The 22,210-nt window shown below is 32.3% G+C and overlaps 1 protein-coding gene across 3 annotated transcripts in view, besides 2 other annotated features; it reads right to left on the reverse strand.

Annotated features, from left to right (window-relative positions):
- The window catches only part of EYS (eyes shut homolog), a 1,987,247-nt gene that overhangs the window by 1,879,557 nt on the left and 85,480 nt on the right, over window positions 1-22,210 (reverse strand). The window lies entirely within an intron of this gene.
- Window positions 14,479-14,648: an enhancer, noted in NCBI's record as "experimental_93128 CRE fragment used in MPRA reporter constructs". NCBI's record gives its function as "activates a minimal promoter by MPRAs in K562 erythroleukemia cells, with activity observed for both the introgressed and non-introgressed 6:66323993 variant alleles {active_cell/tissue: K562}" and the evidence as "EXISTENCE:reporter gene assay evidence [ECO:0000049][PMID:34662402]".
- Window positions 17,656-17,825: an enhancer, noted in NCBI's record as "experimental_93152 CRE fragment used in MPRA reporter constructs". NCBI's record gives its function as "activates a minimal promoter by MPRAs in K562 erythroleukemia cells, with activity observed for both the introgressed and non-introgressed 6:66327170 variant alleles {active_cell/tissue: K562}" and the evidence as "EXISTENCE:reporter gene assay evidence [ECO:0000049][PMID:34662402]".

Here is a 22,210-nt window from a genome sequence, read left to right on the forward strand (position 1 = left end):
TCAAACTCTGTTGTTTATAGCAGGTTTAAAAGAACAGCTCTTATTACTAGATGTTCAGAAAAATATAAATTTTATGTTTCTATTAAATTTAGAAGATTCTACCCATTTTTAGCATTAAAAAATATGAAATGTTTATTCAGATAAAAATTTAGTCCAATGTAGATAGATATACAGTGTCTTCTAGGTAAAAATGTTTAGTCTCCCAGACACCTTTCCTTCTTAGTTTTTGTCTCCTTAAGATAGTGCCTATTCATAGGGAAGGGGTTGGGGGGATAAATGGAACTTATTTTATAAGGTTTCATGGTGGTAGGGGAAGCAAACAAACAAATACCTTGAGTGCTATGTCCTCAGATTTCTACGGTTTCCAAAGAATTGGTTATGTGCTGTTGGCACAGAATTGGTTATGTGCTGTTGACATCTGCTAGTGATCACTGCTGATTCTGTATCGAGTGTGAGTCTCTCAGCTTAGAAAGCATGTAAAAGTGATCATGTGATCAAGTGATCTTCATCAAGTGGAAGGTTCACCTCAGCTTCCACTGCACCTGTCACTTATGAGCTCTCACTATAATTTCATTTTCCTTCATCTGGGGATAGCAGGTAGTGATTCCTAACCTTTTGTGCAAAGACCTCTGACTTCATACAGTTCTCCCAGCAGCCTCTTGGTAAATTCTGAGTCCTATTGTAACTCTGGAACCCAGGGTGGTTCCAAAAGGCTACAACATAGGGCCTTTTCTCCCTGACCTGTTGCATTGCTAAGTAATTATAGCTGAGCCCCTAGTGATTCAAGTAAACCTTCAAGAAGAACCTCATCCCAGACTCCTGGACTATGGGCAAGAGTTTTCTCCTCATTGTTATTCCTTCAATATATGTAACATACCTCATGGATAAGGATGGCTCTTATATTCTTATATAATCCTAAATTAAATGTCAACTATTAAGTATTATCTCTGACATCATCTTTATATTCCCTCCATCCTTATTCTCAAGCAAATGAAAGCTATACAACAACATAGGGAGGTACTCAGAAATGCAAATGATGAAAGCATAATGTCCCCTCGTGAACACGAAAACAAGTTCCTGGTAATTTACGTGCATTTTGTGGTACCGCCAAATCCCAATCAGGAAAATAAGTACTGTGTATTGAAATTGTACCTCTGATTTCAAAATTAAAACATAAAAATTTTTAGTAGTTATATAATTATGTTAGTTGCATGAAATTTGTTTCTAAAATATGACTTTGACAAAGATATATATAGGACACATAGTAATCAAAACAAAAGTGGCAATTTTCTCGGTAGTACTATCTACCCTCATGGGCTATTCTATGGAATTCCTTTCCCTATTGTTTTAGGTAAGCCGTCAGTATATCTGTTTTGCAAAGAAAACAATGATACTGGGATTTTAGTACAACTCATGTCACTTAGTTTCCATGTCTATTTCTTTATATGAGTTATTATTTCCTTTTAAAACTATCATTTATGTATCATGATAGATTCAAAATATATCTAAATACACGTTGCTTATTATGAATACTAAAGTTAAGTAATGCAGAATTTATAGATTCATACTCCAGTTTAAAATTAGGTAGCTTACATAGGGGCATTTATATTGTTTCATGGAAGCAAGTTTATTAGTGCTTTCCTTTCAAGCATAGCCTAAATACATTAAGATTAAATACATTAAGGTTAATTTGAGAGTAGTTTTAATTCCATAGGAACATACATTAGCCATATCTTTTCATCTGGAAAAAATTATAACAATAGCAAAACAATAAGTCTAATAATGTCTACAAAGAAACCATATGAGATTAGAAATATGAAACCTTGTATAAATCCCTCTTATCAGTCCCCATACAATTGTCTGAATCCCCATGGCTACAGTCAATTATGCTTTTTTTTCCCCCACAGAGATACCAGCACCAATAAGAGAACAGTTTATTCTGCCTCTTGCAGTGATTTTTGTGAATATCTCAAAATATCGATAATAAGAAATGGGTCCTGTCAATCAATGCATCTGATGGATGCTAATTCTATCCAGAAAACAATATTAACCTTTTCCACTGTAAGCCTATCAAATACTAGAGATCTAAGATGGAATAATAGCTCAAAATGAATTTCTCCATGAAATAAAAATAGAACTGCTTGTTAATTTTTCTCGAAACACAGATTAGTAAAACTGCAGCTGTTTCAAGAAGTGAATTTGTGGGAAAATGTCAAGTGTGAGACATTTTTCTTTCTTGACCAATTAAAAGTAATAACATGCCAACTTTGAGAATAATAGTGTGGGAAATAGTGGCAGTTTTTAAACTTTGTAAATAGAAATATCAAAACATATAATTAGTTTCAAATTTTTGGTTAATTAAACACAAATACCTATTTATCTGTTGTATTTTGCTTTCATAGTGGGCTTATAATGTTGGTATGAAGAAAATAAAAATAGCTTTATTGTTACAGCCTATGTAACAAAGCATGACAAAAACATCCAGATATCTAATTTCTCATTGGTCTGGGTCTTTCGCAGTGTGGATGCATAATTTTGTTATCAAATTGAATGGATATTTTTAAGGATATAATTACATGTTTCTTGGGGAAGTTCAACAATTTAAAGTATCTTGTCAATGTTTTATATTTTCCATTCCTCCAAAACTTAAAATTAAGTAGTGAGTCACTGATTCAACAAGATGTACACAAAAGTATGTCTACTAGTATAAATTATAAATGTGAAACTATAGTTTAGAACTCTCATCATTAAAGTTATTGGGTTATAATAGAAACACATGTAATACATGTAAAAATGTATAACACAAGCTCAAGTTGAGTTATAAAAACATGTTTTGCTCATGAAATTTAATTTTTTACTAAATTTGATTAGTTGAGGCTTTTAAATAAACATAAACATTAATGAATTAAATAATGTATAATTCCACAAATGTTTTCTCCACATGCATCTTATGCTATGGAAAAATATTTATCCATTCTTTCCACAAATATTTATTGAGCTTTGAAATATGCCAGACACTGTTCTTGGAAGCAAGAACACATGAATAAACAAAAACATTCTAAATGCTGGCCTTTGTGGTACTTGTGCTCATGTTTTGTATATTAAATAAAAAAGACAAAAACTATTTTTGTGACATTTGCAGTTTGTGGTTAAGCAGGCAGTAAACTCTTCTTCACACAAGTCAACAGGGGAAGCACAGGTTGTAAATATCTGAATGAAAGAGTGATGTGATACAGAATAATGTGTGAAGGCCCATTGTAGGGAAGAGACAGGGAAGCCTTTTTGAAGTGATAACTCCATGGCGTGACACACTTTTAAGTTTGCCTAAGACAGTTTTAATTTACATTTGTTGTCCTAACAGTCTGTCAGAGTAGCCTTTGCTCCACTCAAATATTTAGGAGAATGACTAAGGTAAAGTAGTAGACTGATTGTAAGCATTGAAGCAGGTTCGGTAAGGGATGGTTTTGATTGGGTTTAGGGTGATAGTAACTGAGATTCAGAAATGTGGATACACTTGATACAAATACTCTAAATAATCTTCTTTTCCATTCCTGTATTTAAGTCCCTTATCTATTCAAAGAATAAGTAGCATTCAAGACTCTAAAGTTCAAATAACAGAATGATACACCACTTCCTGCTTTAGAGGCTCACAGCCCATCTGAAAGAGACAGACAAATAAACACATGCATATAACTTAGAGCTACAGGAATCCTAGTGTAATTGGCAATGGGTAAGTGGATCACCAATGAAAGAGAGGTGAATTCTAACTATATTCAAAAACAAAAAAGATTCACAGAGTAATGGACCATGGACTTGAGATTTAGAAGTGAATGATGGTCATTTGTCAATTGGGATAATATCTCTGTAAGGTGTATGAGGTCCTAACTTTGGTGAATGAAAACTACAATTTGCCTTCATAAATTGCTTACATTTTTTCTGAAGAAAGATAGTTTTATAATTCCATCTATTAATATTTCTTTGAACCCCCTGTTACCTGAGAAGGCAATCTATTTTGAAATGAAAATAATAGAAGCTTAATACATTAACCTGGAAACACTTTATAATACATATCACACTGAAGAGGTCCTACATAAGTACTCTTCTGTTCATTTTAAACTTGAGCTTTATTATCTGTTTTTTGTAAACCCCAGAGCTTTCTTAATGAGCATTATGAAAAATCTTTTAAATAAGACAAAAACATTTTAGGTTTCTATTCCTTTTTTTCCCTCAGTGCTTTCAAAGAAATTTCTGAGCATAACCTGTTGTATAAATTATACTAGCAGGTTATGATTGTTTGGGGTACTTCCTTGATTTTTCACATTTAAAAATAAAACTGCTCATGTTTTTTTTGTTTGTTTCAAACAGCAAGTAGAAAAATTGTCATACAGAATGTTACCTGTAAACTTTATCTTTGTTCATGTTTTAGATTTTTTTCCTTGATTTGAATGACTTCTTTTTTCTTTTCAGGTACTTATATGTGAATTATTTTCAAACTGTACTTTTTAAGCAATAGATGCGGAAAAAATAGGAATACTGACTTATTATGTCCTCAAAGTCTCCTCTCAACAAATACCAGGAGATTTCCAGTTTTCTCTTACATAGTTTGGTTGGAATTAGCTCTGTTTTGATTAATACTCATGAACAATGTGTTTGTTCTGCCCTCTTTTTTAAATATGGGAGGGAGTTGATGTTGGTAATTATTTATTATTTCTCTCAACTTTGCTATAAAACAGGAGGAATTTCATTCAACTTCCGATCACATTTGAATTAGATACCAGAAGACTAATAATAAGTAATTTTACAATGTTGATGTGCGGGCAATTCTAGGGAAGACTCAAAACCCAGAATACATAAAAGGGAAAATTCACACGATTAATTACGTTTAAAAATTCACATGGAAACACATTAAAGAGTTCAAAAGAGAAAAGGGAAAAGTAAAGCCATGAAATACAAACTATCCACATGAGTACTAAAATACCAAGGTGTAGGTTATACATGTTTATATATTTGTCAAAATTTGGAATGTACACTTAAGGTTTGTGCATTTTATTATATGTAAATTTTACATTAAAATAAATAAATTTGAACTCTAGTTAATGATAGTAATAATAAGGTATTTAAGCGAAAGTACGCTGATTCCTGCAAAGTATTTTAAATTGCATCCAAAAATAAGGTAGAATAATGTATGGATAGGATGAAGGAAATATGGATTGTTTGTGCCACGAGTTTAAATAAATATTAGTGTTAGAATCTAGGTGGTAGATCAATGATGTTCATTGTAAAAGACCTTTAAATTCACTGCCCCCTTTTTTTTTTTTTTTTTTTGAGACAGGGTCTTGCTCTGTCACATAGGCTGGAGTGCAGTGGCACAATCATGACTCACTGCAGCCTCAATTTCCCAGGCTTAAGCTAGTCTCCCACCTTAGTTTCCTGAATAGTTGGGACTAAACATATGGCCGACCATGCCCAGCTATTTTTTTTTTTTTTTGTAGAGACGGGGGTCTCACTATTTTTCCCAGGCTGGTCTTGAACTCCTGGACTCAAGCAATCCTCCTGCCTTGGCCTCCCAAATTGCTGAGATTACAGGCATGAGTCACCATACTGGCTTTCACTGCACATTTGAAATTTTCATAATAAAATGTTGAAAAATTTCTACAGGATGATTTCTAATAAATAATATAATGCAATTGAATACCAATTAAAAATTGCATTGACATGAATGGTATCAACAAAAAATTTAAAATAAACACACAAGTGAAAAAAATGAAAATAATGCATAACTTCATTGTCGATCACATTTATAAATTAAAATTAAATTGATATTTATTCTATTATGTCTTGAAAGAAGAAAATAAATTATAATACACAAGGTTTTTGAGTGTGAGGGTGTTGAGAATTATATACAATGTCCACGTGCATATAAATTTGTACAGCCTTTTAGAAATACTCCTTTTGAATATATGTCTAATAAATTTAATGACATTACCTTTGATTCAGCAATTCAAATTTTAGAAATGTATTTTCATAAAACATTGAAAGACTGGATGCAAAGATATATATCCATAAGTTTATAGTTATCAAATTGAAAGTATATAACATACATATTTAGCAAAATTATTTGATTAAATACATTTGGTATAAATAATATGATTAAAATTTTTTATTGTATTGTAAGCACTGATATAGATTTATATTTATGGACATAAAAAGATAGCCACACTTTTTTGAGTGAAAAAGGCAAGCTATGAAAAATTATGTTGAATAAATATGTGTGTGTATGTGTGTATATATTTATATATGATTGTATGCATAAAAGAATAAACGTCTGAAAATGTAGAATAAAATAAAATTTGCTATCTCTGGAAATGCTATATTGTGGTCAATGTTTACTTTCCTTTTATACATTTCCTTTTACACATTTCAGTAGTTTGAAAAGTAAAAATAAACATTTACAGATAAAAACTTGAGGAAATATTTCACATCAGATATAATGAATAATTAATATTCTTAAAGTACTGAGTTCTTACAGTTAAAAACTACCAATAGTCGCAAATTTTTAAAAACAATATTTATTTACATGACAAAATGGTAGTCTCTAGGAAACACAGAGAATAAGAAATATAGAGAATAAGTATTCCTTACCTTCCACATATTTACAACCAGTATTCAAAAATAGTTTTAAAAATATGTTTAACCACTCTAAATGTACATTAATATTCTATACACACAAATGTGAAATGATCACATCAAAGTAAAACTATTTATTGCTTTATATTTACTTACTACATATTCCAAGCCATACTAAAATGTATTTAAAATGTAATTCTAATTGCCTAAAGAAAGCATACGAGTTTGTATAAATAAAATACCATTTTCGTAAAATGAAATTCTAAGATAAATTTGAATTTTGTTTTTTTGAAAAGGATTATAAATAACATTTAGATTATATCATCATTCATGAGTTCAAAGAAGAAATGAAATCTCCTTTGAATGTCGCACCATTCTGCCCTGATTAGATCAATTTTGGACAATGACAATCGTAATTAATTACTCTTAGCCTTCAGGATGATGCACAACTCAAAATACGGAAAACTGAAATTCTATAACAAATACAACTGGCTTTACAACATCTGAACAATTTAATACATTTAAAATTACTTAAATGAAAAGTAAAAGTTAAAGTTATTGACTCAAAATTTTAATCAGCTTGACTATCCTTCTGCATCTAAACATGAATTAAACAATCTTAAAGCTAGAAATCTAACCACAGACAGATATAAGTAAAAAAGAGAAGTTTACCAGTTTACTTTTTTCTAATATCTGAGTTGAATTAGTCTCTTCCAAAGTATTTTTTTTTTGCAATTTTGAATTTACTAGTTATTTTAATGAATGAAGAAATAATAATGGGATATAATGTCTTAAGCAGGAGTGAGTAGAATATACAAAAATCTAATCTAAGAATGGGAATGAGATATTGGATATTTATTTATGAAAACTGAATAACTAATAAAAATGATCTCAGCAAATATGCTTAATTTAGATATTGTGATAATTTCTTGTGAAACTTTTGAAGTTAATGTTTTGAGGGAACTTTAAATTCTCTCTCAACCACTTGCAATTTAATTAATTAGCTATCAGGCATCAGTGATATTCAAACTTGCCTCCAGAATCTCATTTATGAGATTTCACCCTGGATCACATTTTTAGTTTGTCATAAAGGTTGGCACTCTGCACAAAATTGGCAAGGCAAAATATTTATTTTCCTCTGTATTCACTTAAAAAAAAATACTGTCACATCTGACAGAAACCATAGTAACTTCTCTCTAAAGTTATTCTTTCTCAAGTTTTTTACCCTTTGTGCTCTTGACAACTTTTCTGCAAATTTCATTGTAACAGAACCAATACAATTAATAAGATTCCTGCTGTAACTTTCCTCACGCCTTCTATTTATTTTTGTCTGTTTATTAAAATAGTACTTTTTATAAGAGTCGCCCTATGATATTACTGCTTCTTTTAATTACTTTTTGAAAAATAAATACTTTTATTTTTAAGAAGTATGTTTAATCAAACTCATCTTAAATTTATTTTGCGTACCTTCAAATATGCAGTTATCTGAGATAATTAATGTTTTAATATGGCCAAACAAAATTTGTGCTTTAAAGTCCATTATCTCAGCGAACAGAATGGAGTGAAAATAAATTATATTTAAAACCACACACATACATTATGCAGAATTTTCTCCTTTCAGAATTGATATTCACAGAAATAAAATGCCACTCTTATTGTTTAGTTGGAAAATACAATTGTTAGAAAATTACATTTCATCTTATGTGTCAATCTCTGCAGAGAAAAGCAAATTAGCTTTCCCTGGAATGTGAGAAAGCAGCAAAAGCAAAACACTCTAAAATTATAATTTCATATTCTTATATTTTTATCTTTATCTTGCTAAAGAATAAGAATATATTCCACTCTTAAAAATTCTTGATTTTGTGGAGGAAACACATTCAGCAATCTTTAGAATGATATAGATAAGTGTCACTTAATTATGAGGATACATTCTGAGAAATGTATCATTAGGCAATTTTGTTATTGTGTGAACATCACAGAGTGTACTTACAGAAACCTAAATGGGATAGCCTCCTACACACCTAGACTATATGCTATAGCCTATTGCTCCTAGGCTACAAACCTGTATGAGGTACTACTGTACAGAATACTGGAGACAACTGTATCACATGGTAAGTATTTCAATATATTTAAACAGGAAAAGGTATGGTAAAAATACAGTTTAAAAGACTTAAAATGGTACACTGTATAGGGCACTTGCCACAAATAGAATTTGCAGGACTGAAAGTTGCTCTGGGTGAGTCAGTGAGTGAGTGCTGAGTGAATGTGGAGGCCTAGGATGTTACACTATTGTATACTTCACAAACACTGTACACTTTATAAACAGTGTACACTTTATAAACACTGTACACTTAGGCTACACTACATTTACTAAAAATATATTTCATTTTTTCAATGATAAATTAACTCACCATAACATTTTAGGTTTATTTACTTTTTATTTACTCTTTGACTTTTCTGTAATAACACTTAGGTTAAAACACAAAAACATTCCACAACCGTAAAAAATATGTTCTTGCTTTATATCCCTATTATAGAAGCTTTTTCCTTTATATCCTTACTATATAAGCTTTTTATAAAAATTTTAAAAGATTTATTTTCGTTTGTAGTTTCTAAACTTTCTTGTTAAAAACTAAGATACAAACACACATATTAGTCTATGCCTACAAAGTGTCAAGATCATCAATATCACTGCCCTTCACCTCCACATTTTGTCCCACAGAAAGGTCTTCAGAGGAAATAACACACATGGAGCTGTTATCTCCTATGATAATAATGCCTTCTTCTGGAATACCTCCTGAAAGGCCTACCTGAGGCTGTTTCACAGTTAAATCTTTTTTAATAAGTAGAAAGAATACAATCTAAAATAATGATTAAAAACATAGTATAGTAAATACACAAATCAATAACATAATCTTTTATTATAAAGTAGCACATAATTATATTTGCTTATATTTTTTGTATGACTGGCAGAGCAGTAGGTTTGTTTTCACCATCATCACCACAAGCATGTGACTAATGCATTGCACTACTACATTACCATGACTACCACCACTAAGAGATAGGAATTTTCCAGCTCTATTATTATCTTATAGGACCACCTTAGTATATGTGGTCCATCCTTGACTGAAACAACTTTACCTGGTGTACAACTGTACGTATCCAAGATAGCCAAAAAAAAAAAAAATCTAATACTAACATTGTAAGAACTGTATAAAATTTAATTTTAAAATTACATGAATCTTTTAAAATAGAGAATGTACCCTTGTTACTCCTAATACTTAGCTGACTCTCCTTTTTCTAGATGAGAAAAATATCATCACAATTGCAAATCATCTTAAAAGGAGATTCTCATTCAGTATAATATAATTTCACTTACACTGAATATCACTTTTTATTTCCTTTATTGCATTATCTCACATTTGAAAGGTTTGAATTGCCACCTGGCAGTGTATTATAATATCATATTTTACATTCACTCTTTATCAGATATCTAACATGGAAATTCAAGTTCATATTTCTTTGCAGACAAAACCAATGACAAAAAGTTCTTTAAACAATCAGTTTCTCCAAAGCTATTCTAAATACATTTAATCCTCTGAATCAAATGCATAATATGAATATGTATCATGTTCATAAGCAAGTTACATAAAACTAAATTGTTATGCCACTAAAAATATATAGGCCACATATCATGTGTCTACACTTATCTTTTTGAATGCATTGTGTTTCACCTTTTGAGATATAGTTCACACACTGGTTATAAAAATATCCAGCCCAGGCTGGAATGCAATGGTGCAATTTTAGGTCATTGCAGCCTTGAACTCCTGGGCTCAAGTATCCTTTCGAATCAGCCTCCCTAGCAGTTGGGACTACAGGTGCATGCCACCACGCCTGGCTAGTTTTTTCATTTTTTTTATTTTTTGTAGAGACAGTATCTTACTAAGTTGTCCAGACTTGAAGCAAACTCAGGCCACAAGTGAACCTTTCCCCTTAGACTCCCAAAACACTGGGATTACAAATATGAGCTGCCATGCCCGGCCTATTAAACTATTCCTTATTTGTTGGTGGTTTTTCTTTTTTGGTTTCTTTGTATTGTGTTGTTCTTTTTTTCCCCCTTTTTTAACTATTCTTAACATATCAGAGTTTGTCTACTCAGATTTGCATGACCTCAAACTCATAGGGATTATTTATCTTCATTAGTCATTAATTGCTAACAATGAAATCTAAATTGGTGAGGGCAGAAAAGGATACGCAGATAAATTTTGTTCCATCATTTAGATACATTTTTATGTTTATATTTTCCTATTATGATACTTTTAGGTTTCTGGAGCTGCAGAACCTTTGTCAAAAGGTGCATTTTTTCATTGCAAATATTCTAACCTATGTGCCATAACTACAGGGGAACATCCTATATATAAAGCAAATTATTCTATTCAAATTTGACACATGTCCTCTGTCTCTGACAATATTTCAAAGTCTTCCTAACTGTACTTTATTTAAAACTTCTATAACTTTTCTAGTTTTATTAACGGATTAATTTTCACAGGATGATATGATGCTTGCAATATTCAGCTTCCTTATGATCAAAGCCAATTCTAATTCTGCTATTTACTCACAAGCATACTAATTACTTTTTAAAATATCGTGTTTATAATGATCAAAATATCTCTCTGTGTAACTGATTCTTTTTCCTAGCAAAAAGCTCATTAGTAGTCATAGGACTCAATAATGTTAATATTCCCAGGATGAATGATACAAAAGATTCATTATCTTTATGCCACACTGGAATCATTGAACTGAATCATTTTATACGATTACAATTATCTTTCAGGCAATGTACTCATATAAATTTAACTAAATGCTTAAATGGCCTGTTGACCCAAAGGGCACTATTAGTTTTGGCTTGATAATTTAATAAATTAATGCCCAGGAAATAATACATACTTTTTATTCCACACTTTTCTCTTTTATTTTTTGAATCAAATAACCGTGTGGGTATAATTAGAATATTGAAAAAAAAAAAGCTTCCTTTCTTCTTGGCTACCCTTCCTTGGTATATGCATGTCTTCTTCACTGATTATGATGAAGAACTGAGAGAATTCAACCTACATAAGTTCATTTTCTGTATAATTGCAATTTAAAACTTTAAGCAGCATGCTTCCAACCAGTTTTGGTGAAACTCTAAGAACATAAATAAATTATTTGAAAAGTCAGTATAAAGTATACCTTCAGTATGAATATAATATGGGTATATAAGAAAGACTATTTCTTGTTTTCTCATGAAATCCTAATTTTCTTAGTTTTATGTTTAGTTTTCTTTTTATAGATAAATTCCTTAAAGCCCTAAGTCATGACAAGCAGAAAAAGACTGAAAAGATTTCGAATTAAAATTATTTTATTGTAAAAATTATATTGATTGATCAGAGACAGTTAAATATTATATTTACAAATTCCAATCTGTTTAAATGTCCTATTAGTACACATAAAGTTGTAATAGTATGGCATTTGCGATTTATCGCAAGATTTCTATACCTTTACAGTACAGTTCTCTGACATTGGCTGCACACAGCAATTTCCCATAGAGCTTTAAAAAATACTAATAAAAGGGCCTCAAACCCACTACTTCTGGCTTAATTGGCCTAGGATGTTGCCTCATCATCAGGATCGTTAAAAGATCCCCAAGAAGTTCTATTCTTGAGCCAAGCTTAGGAAACATTGCTCAAAAGGTATATCAACAGAAGAATAAAGTCTAAAGTGCAAAGTAGACATTTGCTTTAAACTTGTCACATTTCTCAAAATTTATCTAGTAATATAGAAAACATTATTTGCATATATAAGCCATTTAAAATGGCCCTAACAATACTTATTATCTTAACAATTTCACTAGCAAAGTCCAAAAGAACACTCATAATGGTATAAAAATATATTAAATTATTTAGACATAGCCAGCATTTTAGACAGCTAACAGGATGTTAAAACAATTAATATAACGGTGCTTGGATTGGCATGTGTCTTTGAATGTAAACCCTGTATATATATGTATATATATGATATATATGTGTATATGTATATATCATATATATTTATTATGTATGACATATAATCCTGGGTATTACTATTTTAATCAAAAGATAATTCAGAGCTCATGAAATATGATGAATTGAACTTCCTTGATACTGATTCGGATTGTTGTTTGGTCCATCTATCTGATTACTGCTTAAAGAAAAACACAGGTACTAAATTTACCATGAACTGATTAAATTAGGTGATACTAAATTTATTATGCACTGACTAAACTAATTCTTGCAAGCTATAAACTAAATTGTATTTATTAACTGCATTATGGAATAGAAATATTCTCATGAACAAATTCCTAACCCTCTGGAAAAATAATACTTTATTTTAAATATTTCTATTGCTGAGTTAACTAAGCAACAACTAAACATTCTACAATATGAAATGTTAATATCATTTAATTAAAATACATTGTGGATATTGGTATTACATAATCACTCATTCTACAGTATTAATCATAGAAGTTTTCTTTTCATATATTTTATAGAATGTTATTAATCTTTATTCTGGTATGTTATTTATTATAACTTAAAAAAGCAAGTGATTAAATTTAAATTAAGATAGTTTATATTAGTTGATTGGGAAAAAATAGAATTGCTCATCATATTTTCCCTCCTTTTAAGTATTTTGTTTTTTTTACTTATTTTACTTTTTCTGGTTAGAATTTCATCAATTTTATCAAAAATATGAAGGCTGTTTAGGTATGAATTTTTCTTGAGCATTACTGTGTAAACAAGATAAATATATAAAGAAAATAACAATCTTAAAACTTAAATTAACTTTTTTCTAACCACCCCAGAAGTCTCTGTAAATGAAACAGCTACAGAGGCATCTCAGTTTATAGATGGTTTTTGCTTCAACTATTTCCATTGCACAGATATACACGTCTGTCTTATAACTTTAATTTTCTTGTCTTTCTTATGAATATAACAGTACATGCAAAATCACATTATTTAGTGTTGGAGAAATCAATATATTAAATTAGAGGTGTCTGGAATACAATAGATGTTCAGAATATTGGTATATTTGTTGACTAAATTAATTTTATTATTTAATACGGTGGTGACTTCTCCATGGATAAGGTGAGAGACCTAGTTGAATCCTTTCTATGAATATTCTTCAAGCAATCTTGTCAATAATTCACTGTTCATCATAGTAATTATGAACATAAAAAGGAAAAACATCTGCAGTGTGGGAAATCTGAATTTGAAGTATAATTTTCAGTCTGGTACACTGGGTAAGATCATTTTTAAGTGGAAAAGAAAGAAAGAAATGGACCCTGAAATATTCTGTGTGTGAGCATTAGCAGCAATTCAAATACATGATCTGATTGCCAGCCAAACAGAATTTATTTAAATATGTACACAAGTAAATGGGTTTACATGATTTAGGGTAGTTTTTACAGGTACTAAAAGTTAGCAGATAACTTTGTCTTGAATGTAAGCCATGTGTACAACAGAATGTAAGGATCCAGGCAATTCGTTTAACTGAGTATTGACTTTTTTCAATTATGATGAATTATGATAAAGTGATTAAAAACACACTACCTCGGTCTTCACATAATATATGTTTTCATTTGTAATATGATTTCCTACTTTGATAACTTCAAACCTAATTTTTTTATGTTTTTCATATGGATGGTTTATGGTTATTAGGTAAAAATATTTATTTAGATTATGAAATAAAAGAGCCTAAATTAATAAAGTTGGAAACTTTTGCATACTTTTCTTAAACAACTGAAAAAGAAGCAATTTAGTTACTACAGGCAACATGGTGTCCATGATTAGTACAAAATTTAATTATTCACAAAGTGCCAGGCACATGGGATATACAATACGACGTGTCTTTAAATTTCACTTATTTCATTTTCCATTATCTTTAGGTTTATATTATTTCACAGATAATAACTACACATTTCATAACTAAATCTGAAATCTATACAAATGCACATTATGAGTGTTTTTGGAGATATGGACCCCCAAACAGATGGTGAGATGCTGAAAATTTAGACTACCATATAAAAATTACTCTTGCTACACTGTACTTCACCAAAATACACAGGACTAGTTAACAATTACACCCTAATTAAAGAATCTTGTTGTCTGGGGTCAAAGCTTTAATTCATTTAATGTCCGTATATTTGGTAAAAATGGTAATATGTATGGATATCTCCAGAAAAGTTCACCACCTAGCAATATCTATGCCTGTGAAAGGATCCAGAATATGTTGCATTAAAAAATTATATATATGTTGGATGTAGTCCAATGAATGTCATGACTCAGAAGAAAGTACAATAAACCATGTTCCCCATAGATGACCAGTTGTCTCCACAAAATGTACATTTGTTATAAAATGCATAAGAATGAACTAGGTGTACTTAAAATGGATCTACATAGGTTTAATCTACTTGGCAAGAAAAACATTTATATTATTAGATAGAGAAAGTGGTTGCATCAATTACAGCAAATAAATGACAGTATTTGTTTTTTATTTGTCATTATTCTTAAATCCTCTAGAGGCAAAATGGTTAATGAAATACTTCTCAGCCTGCATTTATATGCCAGCCTTTTAAATAAAATCTGTAAATATTCAAATACAATCTATGCATATTCTGTAGTAATCTTTAAAGATTATCAATAAAGTTATAGACATAAACACATACATGCATGTTTGTGTGTGCATGTATACACACTACAAAGGCTAGTCCTTGCAAAAGATGAGAGGTATGTTCTCATTGTTCATTATCTATTCAAAACCACTAGCTTACTGCTACACTGTGCAGAATCAAACAAAACTTTCTAGAACATACCAAAAGGCGAAATTCAATCATCGTGTTTGCTATTTCAAAAATCTGAAAAATGTTGCTTAGTAACTTGTCTGCAAGTAGGTTAATTGAATTCGAATAATTATTTTAAAATACTTTGCAAATTACTTTGTCCTTTCATTTTTAATTTTACATCTACATTACTATTGATCAATACCTTGCTTGAGACAAAGTTTAGGGTACTTTGCAGTTTTCATCTTTTGAACAAGACTGGCAAGTAGTGGGTATTAAATGAGCATTGGCCAATTTAAATGAATACTCTGAGGAAAATAATTCATCCCAGTTATCCGAATATTCAAAACCGAGTTCATTTTATTTATTTATATATATATATATGTGTGTGTATATATAAATATATATATTTAGTACATATATATGTACTCTATATATTATCTATGTAGACACAAAGCTAAATGATGTTTACTGTGCCACATTTTTACTGTCTTTTGGATAATATGATTTTTAATTTTTTAAATATTATGTTTTCTTGAGACCAGATATATATATTTGATTTTTAAAGTATGTTTTCCCCCAGGGCATCTACACGAATACTTCTCAGATATGGTTACTTAGCAAAAAAAGTTCTCAGCCAGGTGCGGTGGCTCACGCCTGTAATCCCAGCACTTTGGGAGGCCAAGGCGGGCAGATCATGAGGTCAGGAGATCAAAGTCAACCTGGCTAACACGGTGAAACCCTGTCTCTACTAAAAATACAAAAAATTAGCCGGTCGTGGTGGCGGGCGCCTGCAGTCCCAGCTACTTGGGAGGCTGAGGCGAGAGAATGGCGTGAGGCCAGGAGGCGGAGCATGCAGTGAGCTGAGATCGCACCACTGCACTCCAGCCTGGGCGAGAGAGCGAGACTCCATCTCAAAAAAGAAAAAAAAAAGAAAGAAAAAAAAATTATCAAATAGTATGAACACAAATTAATTTGATGTGAACTTCTTGACACAAAATTGTATCAAGAGTTAGAAGAACATGTTAATGCATTAGCATCAAGCATTAAACATTTACTCTTACAGTTTTTCAGTTTTAAGTAATTAATTTTATTAAATTATATATTTTAGTATAATGGAAGGCTGATATCCAATTTTTAAAGCCAGCTTTTATTCCACATGTTTTACTCATTTATTCTGATGTAATGACATTTTTCTAGTGTTAATAGTCATATAAAATGTTTCTGCTCTGTGAGTTTCTTCACTAATTCTTGTGTTTAAGTTTTCTGAGTTTGTTTTAATTCACTCAAAATTATTTGTTCACTCTCTAGAAATTCATTACTCTTGCAAATAATCAAATCACTGTTTAAGACAATTAATGTGTTAATCAACCTTGTTTGCTTCAAACAACAAACCCACAAGTTAGACCAATTTTAAGACTAATTTTATTGAACCAGAGAATTTAATATGGCATTATTTTCCTATATGTTTTAAGAAGTAAATCTTTAGGCCGGGCGCAGTGGATCACACCTGTAATCCTAGCACTTTGGGAGGCCGAGGTGGGTGGATCACGAGGTCAAGAGATTGAGACCATCCTGGCCAAAATGGTGAAACCCCGTGTCTACTAAAAATACAAAAATTTGCTGGGTGTGGTGGCACGTGCCTGTACTCCTAGCTACTCGGAAGGCTGAGGCAGGAGAATAGCTTGAACCCGGGAGGTCAAGGTTGCAGTGAGCCGAGATAACGCCACTGCACTCCAGCCTGGTGACAGAGTGACACTCTGTCTAAAAAAACAAAAAAAAAAAGTAAGCCTTTATTTTCTAATAAAACGAAGAAAAAATAAATACGTATATATCTTAGTTCAATATTTTTAATTCAATTGGTGACTGATCACTATGACTAACTAATACATTGAAGCTTTTAAAAATGTTATTATTTCCCTGGCTTATTTATACGAATTAAGTATTGAATATGTGTATAAACATTAAAACAAATAAAAATTAAACATCATATGCAGTTACAACAAATGATTTCTAACATTAGGACATGGATTTTTATGGAAAGGGAGAAATATTTTTTATACTTTCTTTGATCTTCAGTTCAGGTGATTTTAAATAATTTAATGTGCTTGTTTCTGCAGATATTCATTAAACATCAAGAGTGTTAGAAACCTATGTATAACTAAGAAATGTTGACCTGGAGAAAAAAAATATTGTTTCACCTCTTATCTATATTTGATATTAATTCAGCAGGTTGACAATATAACAAGAGCCTGTGAACGAAGCTATTGATTTACTTATGAGGGACTTAAAATATCTAGTTTACTAGTGACAGTCAGAATGCAAATTAATAGAGAAAAAGAAACTCACTTGTTACGACTTCAAAAACTATTCTATCATTCTATCACATATCTATTGGTAAATGTTTAATGATACCTGAATTAAAATTACATAAAATTAGCAAGGTATATTGATAAATGTTTAATGAGACCTGAATTAAAATTATATAAAATTAGCAAAATAAGTTCATATGGTATTATTTATAATATATTTTTTAAATTTATTATTATTATACTTTAAGTTTTAGGGTACATGTGCACAATGTGCAGGTTAGTTACATATGTATACATGTGCCATGCTGGTGCGCTGCACCCACTAACTCGTCATCTAGCATTAGGTATATCTCCCAATGCTATCCCTCCCCCCTCCCCCCACCCCACCACAATCCCCAGAGTGTGATGTTCCCCTTCCTGTGTCCATGTGTTCTCATTGTTCAATTTCCACCAATGAGTGAGAATATGTGGTGTTTGGTTTTTTGCACTTGCAATAGTTTGCTGAGAATGATGATTTCCAGCTTCATCCATGTCCCTACAAAGGACATGAACTCATCATTTTTGATGGCTGCATAGTATTCCATGGTGTATATGTGCCACATTTTCTTAATCCAGTCTATCATTGTTGGACATTTGGGTTGGTTCCAAGTCTTTGCTATTGTGAATAATGCTGCAATAAACATACATGTGCATGTGTGTTTATAGCAGCATGATTTATAGTCCTTTGGGTATATACCCAGTAATGGGATGGCTGGGTCAAATGGTATTTCTAGTTCTAGATCCCTGAGGAATTGCCACACTGACTTCCACAATGGTTGAACTAGTTTACAGTCCCACCAACAGTGTAAAAGTGTTCCTATTTCTCCATATCCTCTCCAGCACCTGTTGTTTCCTGAATTTTTAATGATCGCCATTCTAACTGGTGTGAGATGGTATCACATTGTGGTTTTGGTTTGCATTTCTCTGACGGCCAGTGATGGTGAGCATTTTTTCATGTGTTTTTCGGCTGCATGAATGTCTTCTTTTGAGAAGTGTCTGTTCATGTCCTTCGCCCACTTTTCGATGGGGCTGTTTGTTTTTTTCTTGTATATTTGTTTGAGTTCATTGTAGATTCTGGATATTAGCCCTTTGTCAGATGAGTAGGTTGCAAAAATTTTTTCCTATTTTGTAGGTTGCTTGTTCACTCTGATGGTAGTTTCTTTTGCTGTGCAGAAGCTCTTTAGTTTAATTAGATCCCATTTGTCAATTTTGGCTTTTGTTGCCATTGCTTTTGGTGTTTTACATATGAAGTCCTTGCCCATGCCTATGTCCTGAATGGTAATGCCTAGGTTTTCTTCTAGGGTTTTTACGGTTTTAGGTCTAATGTATAAGTCTTTAATCCATCTTGAATTGATTTTTATATAAGGTGTAAGGAAGGGATCCAGTTTCAGCTTTCTACATATGGCTAGCCAGTTTCCCAGCACCATTTATTAAATAGGGAATCCTTTCCCCATTGCTTGTTTTTCTCAGGTTTGTCAAAGATCAGACAGTTGTAGATATGCGGCATTATTTCTGAGGGCTCTGTTCTGTTCCATTGATCTATATCTCTGTTTTGGTACCAGTACCATGCTGTTTTGGTTACTGTAGTCTTGTAGTATAGTTTGAAGTCAGGTAGTGTGATGCCTCCAGCTTTTTTCTTTTGGCTTCAGATTGACTTGGCGATGCGGGCTCTTTTTTGGTTCCATATGAACTTTAAAGTAGTTTTTTCCAATGCTGTGAAGAAAGGCATTGGTAGATTGATTGGGATGGCATTGAATCTGCAAATTACCTTGGGCAGTATGGCCATTTTCACGATATTGATTCTTCCTACCCATGAGCATGGAATGTTCTTCCATTTGTTTGTATCCTCTTTTATTTCATTGAGCAGTGGTTTGTAGTTCTCCTTGAAGAGGTCCTTCACGTCCCTTGTAAGTTGGATTCCTAGGTATTTTATTCTCTTTGAAGCAATTATGAATGGGAGTTCACTCATGATTTGCCTCTCTGTTTGTCTGTTATTGGTGTATAAGAATGCTTGTGATTTTTGTACATTGATCTTGTATCCTGAGACTTTGCTGAAGTTGTTTATCAGCTTTAGGAGATTTTGGGCTGAGACAATGGGGTTTTCCAGATATACAATCATGTCATCTGCAAACAGGGACAATTTGACTTCCTCTTTTCCTAATTGAATACCCTTTATTTCCTTCCACTGCCTAATTGCCCTGGCCAGAACTTCCAACACTATGTTGAATAGGAGTGGTGAGAGAGGGCATCCCTGTCTTGTGCCCGTTTTCAAAGGGAATGCTTCCAGTTTTTGCCCATTCAGTATGATATTGGCTGTGGGTTTGTCATAGATAGCTCTTATTATTTTGAGATACGTCCCATCAATACCTAATTTATTGAGAGTTTTTAGCATGAAGGGTTGTTGAATTTTGTCAAAGGCCTTTTCTGCATCTATTGAGATAATCATGCGGTTTTTGTCTTTGGTTCTGTTTATATGCTGGATTACATTTATTGATTTGCGTATGTTGAACCAGCCTTGCATCCCAGGGATGAAGCCCACTTGATCATGGTGGATAAGCTTTTTGATGTGCTGCTGGATTCGGTTTGCCAGTATTTTATTGAGGATTTTTGCATCAATGTTCATCAAGGATATTGGTCTAAAATTCTCTTTTTATGTTGTGTCTCTGCCAGGCTTTGGTATCAGGATGATGCTGGCCTCATAAAATGAGTTAGAGAGGATTCCCTCTTTTTCTATTGATTGGAATAGTTTCAGAAGGAATGGTACCAGCTCCTCCTTGTACCTCTGGTAGAATTCGGCTGTGAATCCATCTGGCCCTGGACTCTTTTTGGTTGGTAAGCTATTGATCATTGCCGCAATTTCAGATCCTGTTATTGGTCTATTCAGAGATTCAGCTTCTTCCTGGTTTAGTCTTGGGAGGGTGTATGTGTCGAGGAATTCATCCATTTCTTCTAGATTTTCTAGTTTATTTGCGTAGAGGTGTTTGTAGTATTCTCTGATGGTAGTTTGTATTTGTGTGGGATCGGTGGTGATATCCCGTTTATCATTTTTTATTGTGTCTATTTGATTCTTCTCTTTTTTTCTTTATTAGTCTTGCTAGCAGTCTCTCAATTTTGTTGATCGTTTCAAAAAACCAGCTCCTGGATTCGTTAATTTTTTGAAGGGTTTTTTGTGTCTCTATTTCCTTCAGTTCTGCTCTGATTTTAGTTATTTCTTGCCTTCTGCTAGCTTTTGAATGTGTTTGCTCTTGCTTTTCTAGTTCTTTTAATTGTGATGTTAGGGTGTCAATTTTGGATCTTTCCTGCTTTCTCTTGTGGGCATTTAGTGCTATAAATTTCCCTCTACACACTGCTTTGAATGCGTCCCAGAGATTCTGGCATGTTGTGTCTTTGTTCTCATTGGTTTCAAAGAACATCTTTATTTCTGCCTTCATTTTGTTATGTACCCAGTAGTCATTCAGGATCAGGTTGTTCAGTTTCCATGTAGTTGAGCAGTTTTGAGTGAGTTTCTTAATCCGGAGTTCTAGTTTGATAGCACTGTGGTCTGAGAGACAGTTTGTTATCATTTCTGTTCTTTTACATTTGCTGAGGACAGCTTTACTTCCAACTATGTGGTCAATTTTGGAATAGGTGTGGTGTGGTGCTGAAAAAAATGTATATTCTGTTGATTTGAGGTGGAGAGTTTTGTAGATATCTATTAGGTCTGCTTGGTGCAGAGCTGAGTTCAATTCCTGGGTATCCATGTTGACTTTCTGTCTCGTTGATCTGTCTAATGTTGACAGTGGGGTGTTAAAGTCTCCCACTATTAATGTGTGGGAGTCTAAGTCTCTTTGTAGGTCGCTCAGGACTTGCTTTATGAAACTTGGTGCTCCTGTATTGGGTCCATATATATTTAGGACAGTTAGCTCTTCTTGTTGAATTGATCCCTTTACCATTATGTAATGGCCTTCTTTGTCTCTTTTGATCTTTGTTGGTTTAAAGTCTGTTTTAGCAGAGACTAGGATTGCAACCCCTGCCTTTTTTTGTTTTCCATTGGCTTGGTAGATCTTCCTCCATCCTTTTATTTTGAGCCTATGTGTGTCTCTGCACGTGAGATGGGTTTCCTGAATACAGCACACTGATGGGTCTTGACTCTTTATCCAATTTGCCAGTCTGTGTCTTTTAATTGGACCATTTAGTCCATTTACATTTAAAGTTAATATTGTTATGTGTGAATTTGATCCTGTCATTATGATGTTAGCTGGTTATTTTGCTTGTTAGTTAATGCAGTTTCTTCCTAGTCTCGATGGTCTTTACATTTTGGCATGATTTTGCAGCGGCTGGTATTGGTTGTTCCTTTCCATGTTTAGCACTTCCTTCAGGAGCTCTTTTAGGGCAGGCC

The sequence above is a fragment of the Homo sapiens genome, chromosome 6 (genome assembly GCF_000001405.40).
Source record: "Homo sapiens chromosome 6, GRCh38.p14 Primary Assembly".
NCBI lineage: Eukaryota > Metazoa > Chordata > Mammalia > Primates > Hominidae > Homo > Homo sapiens.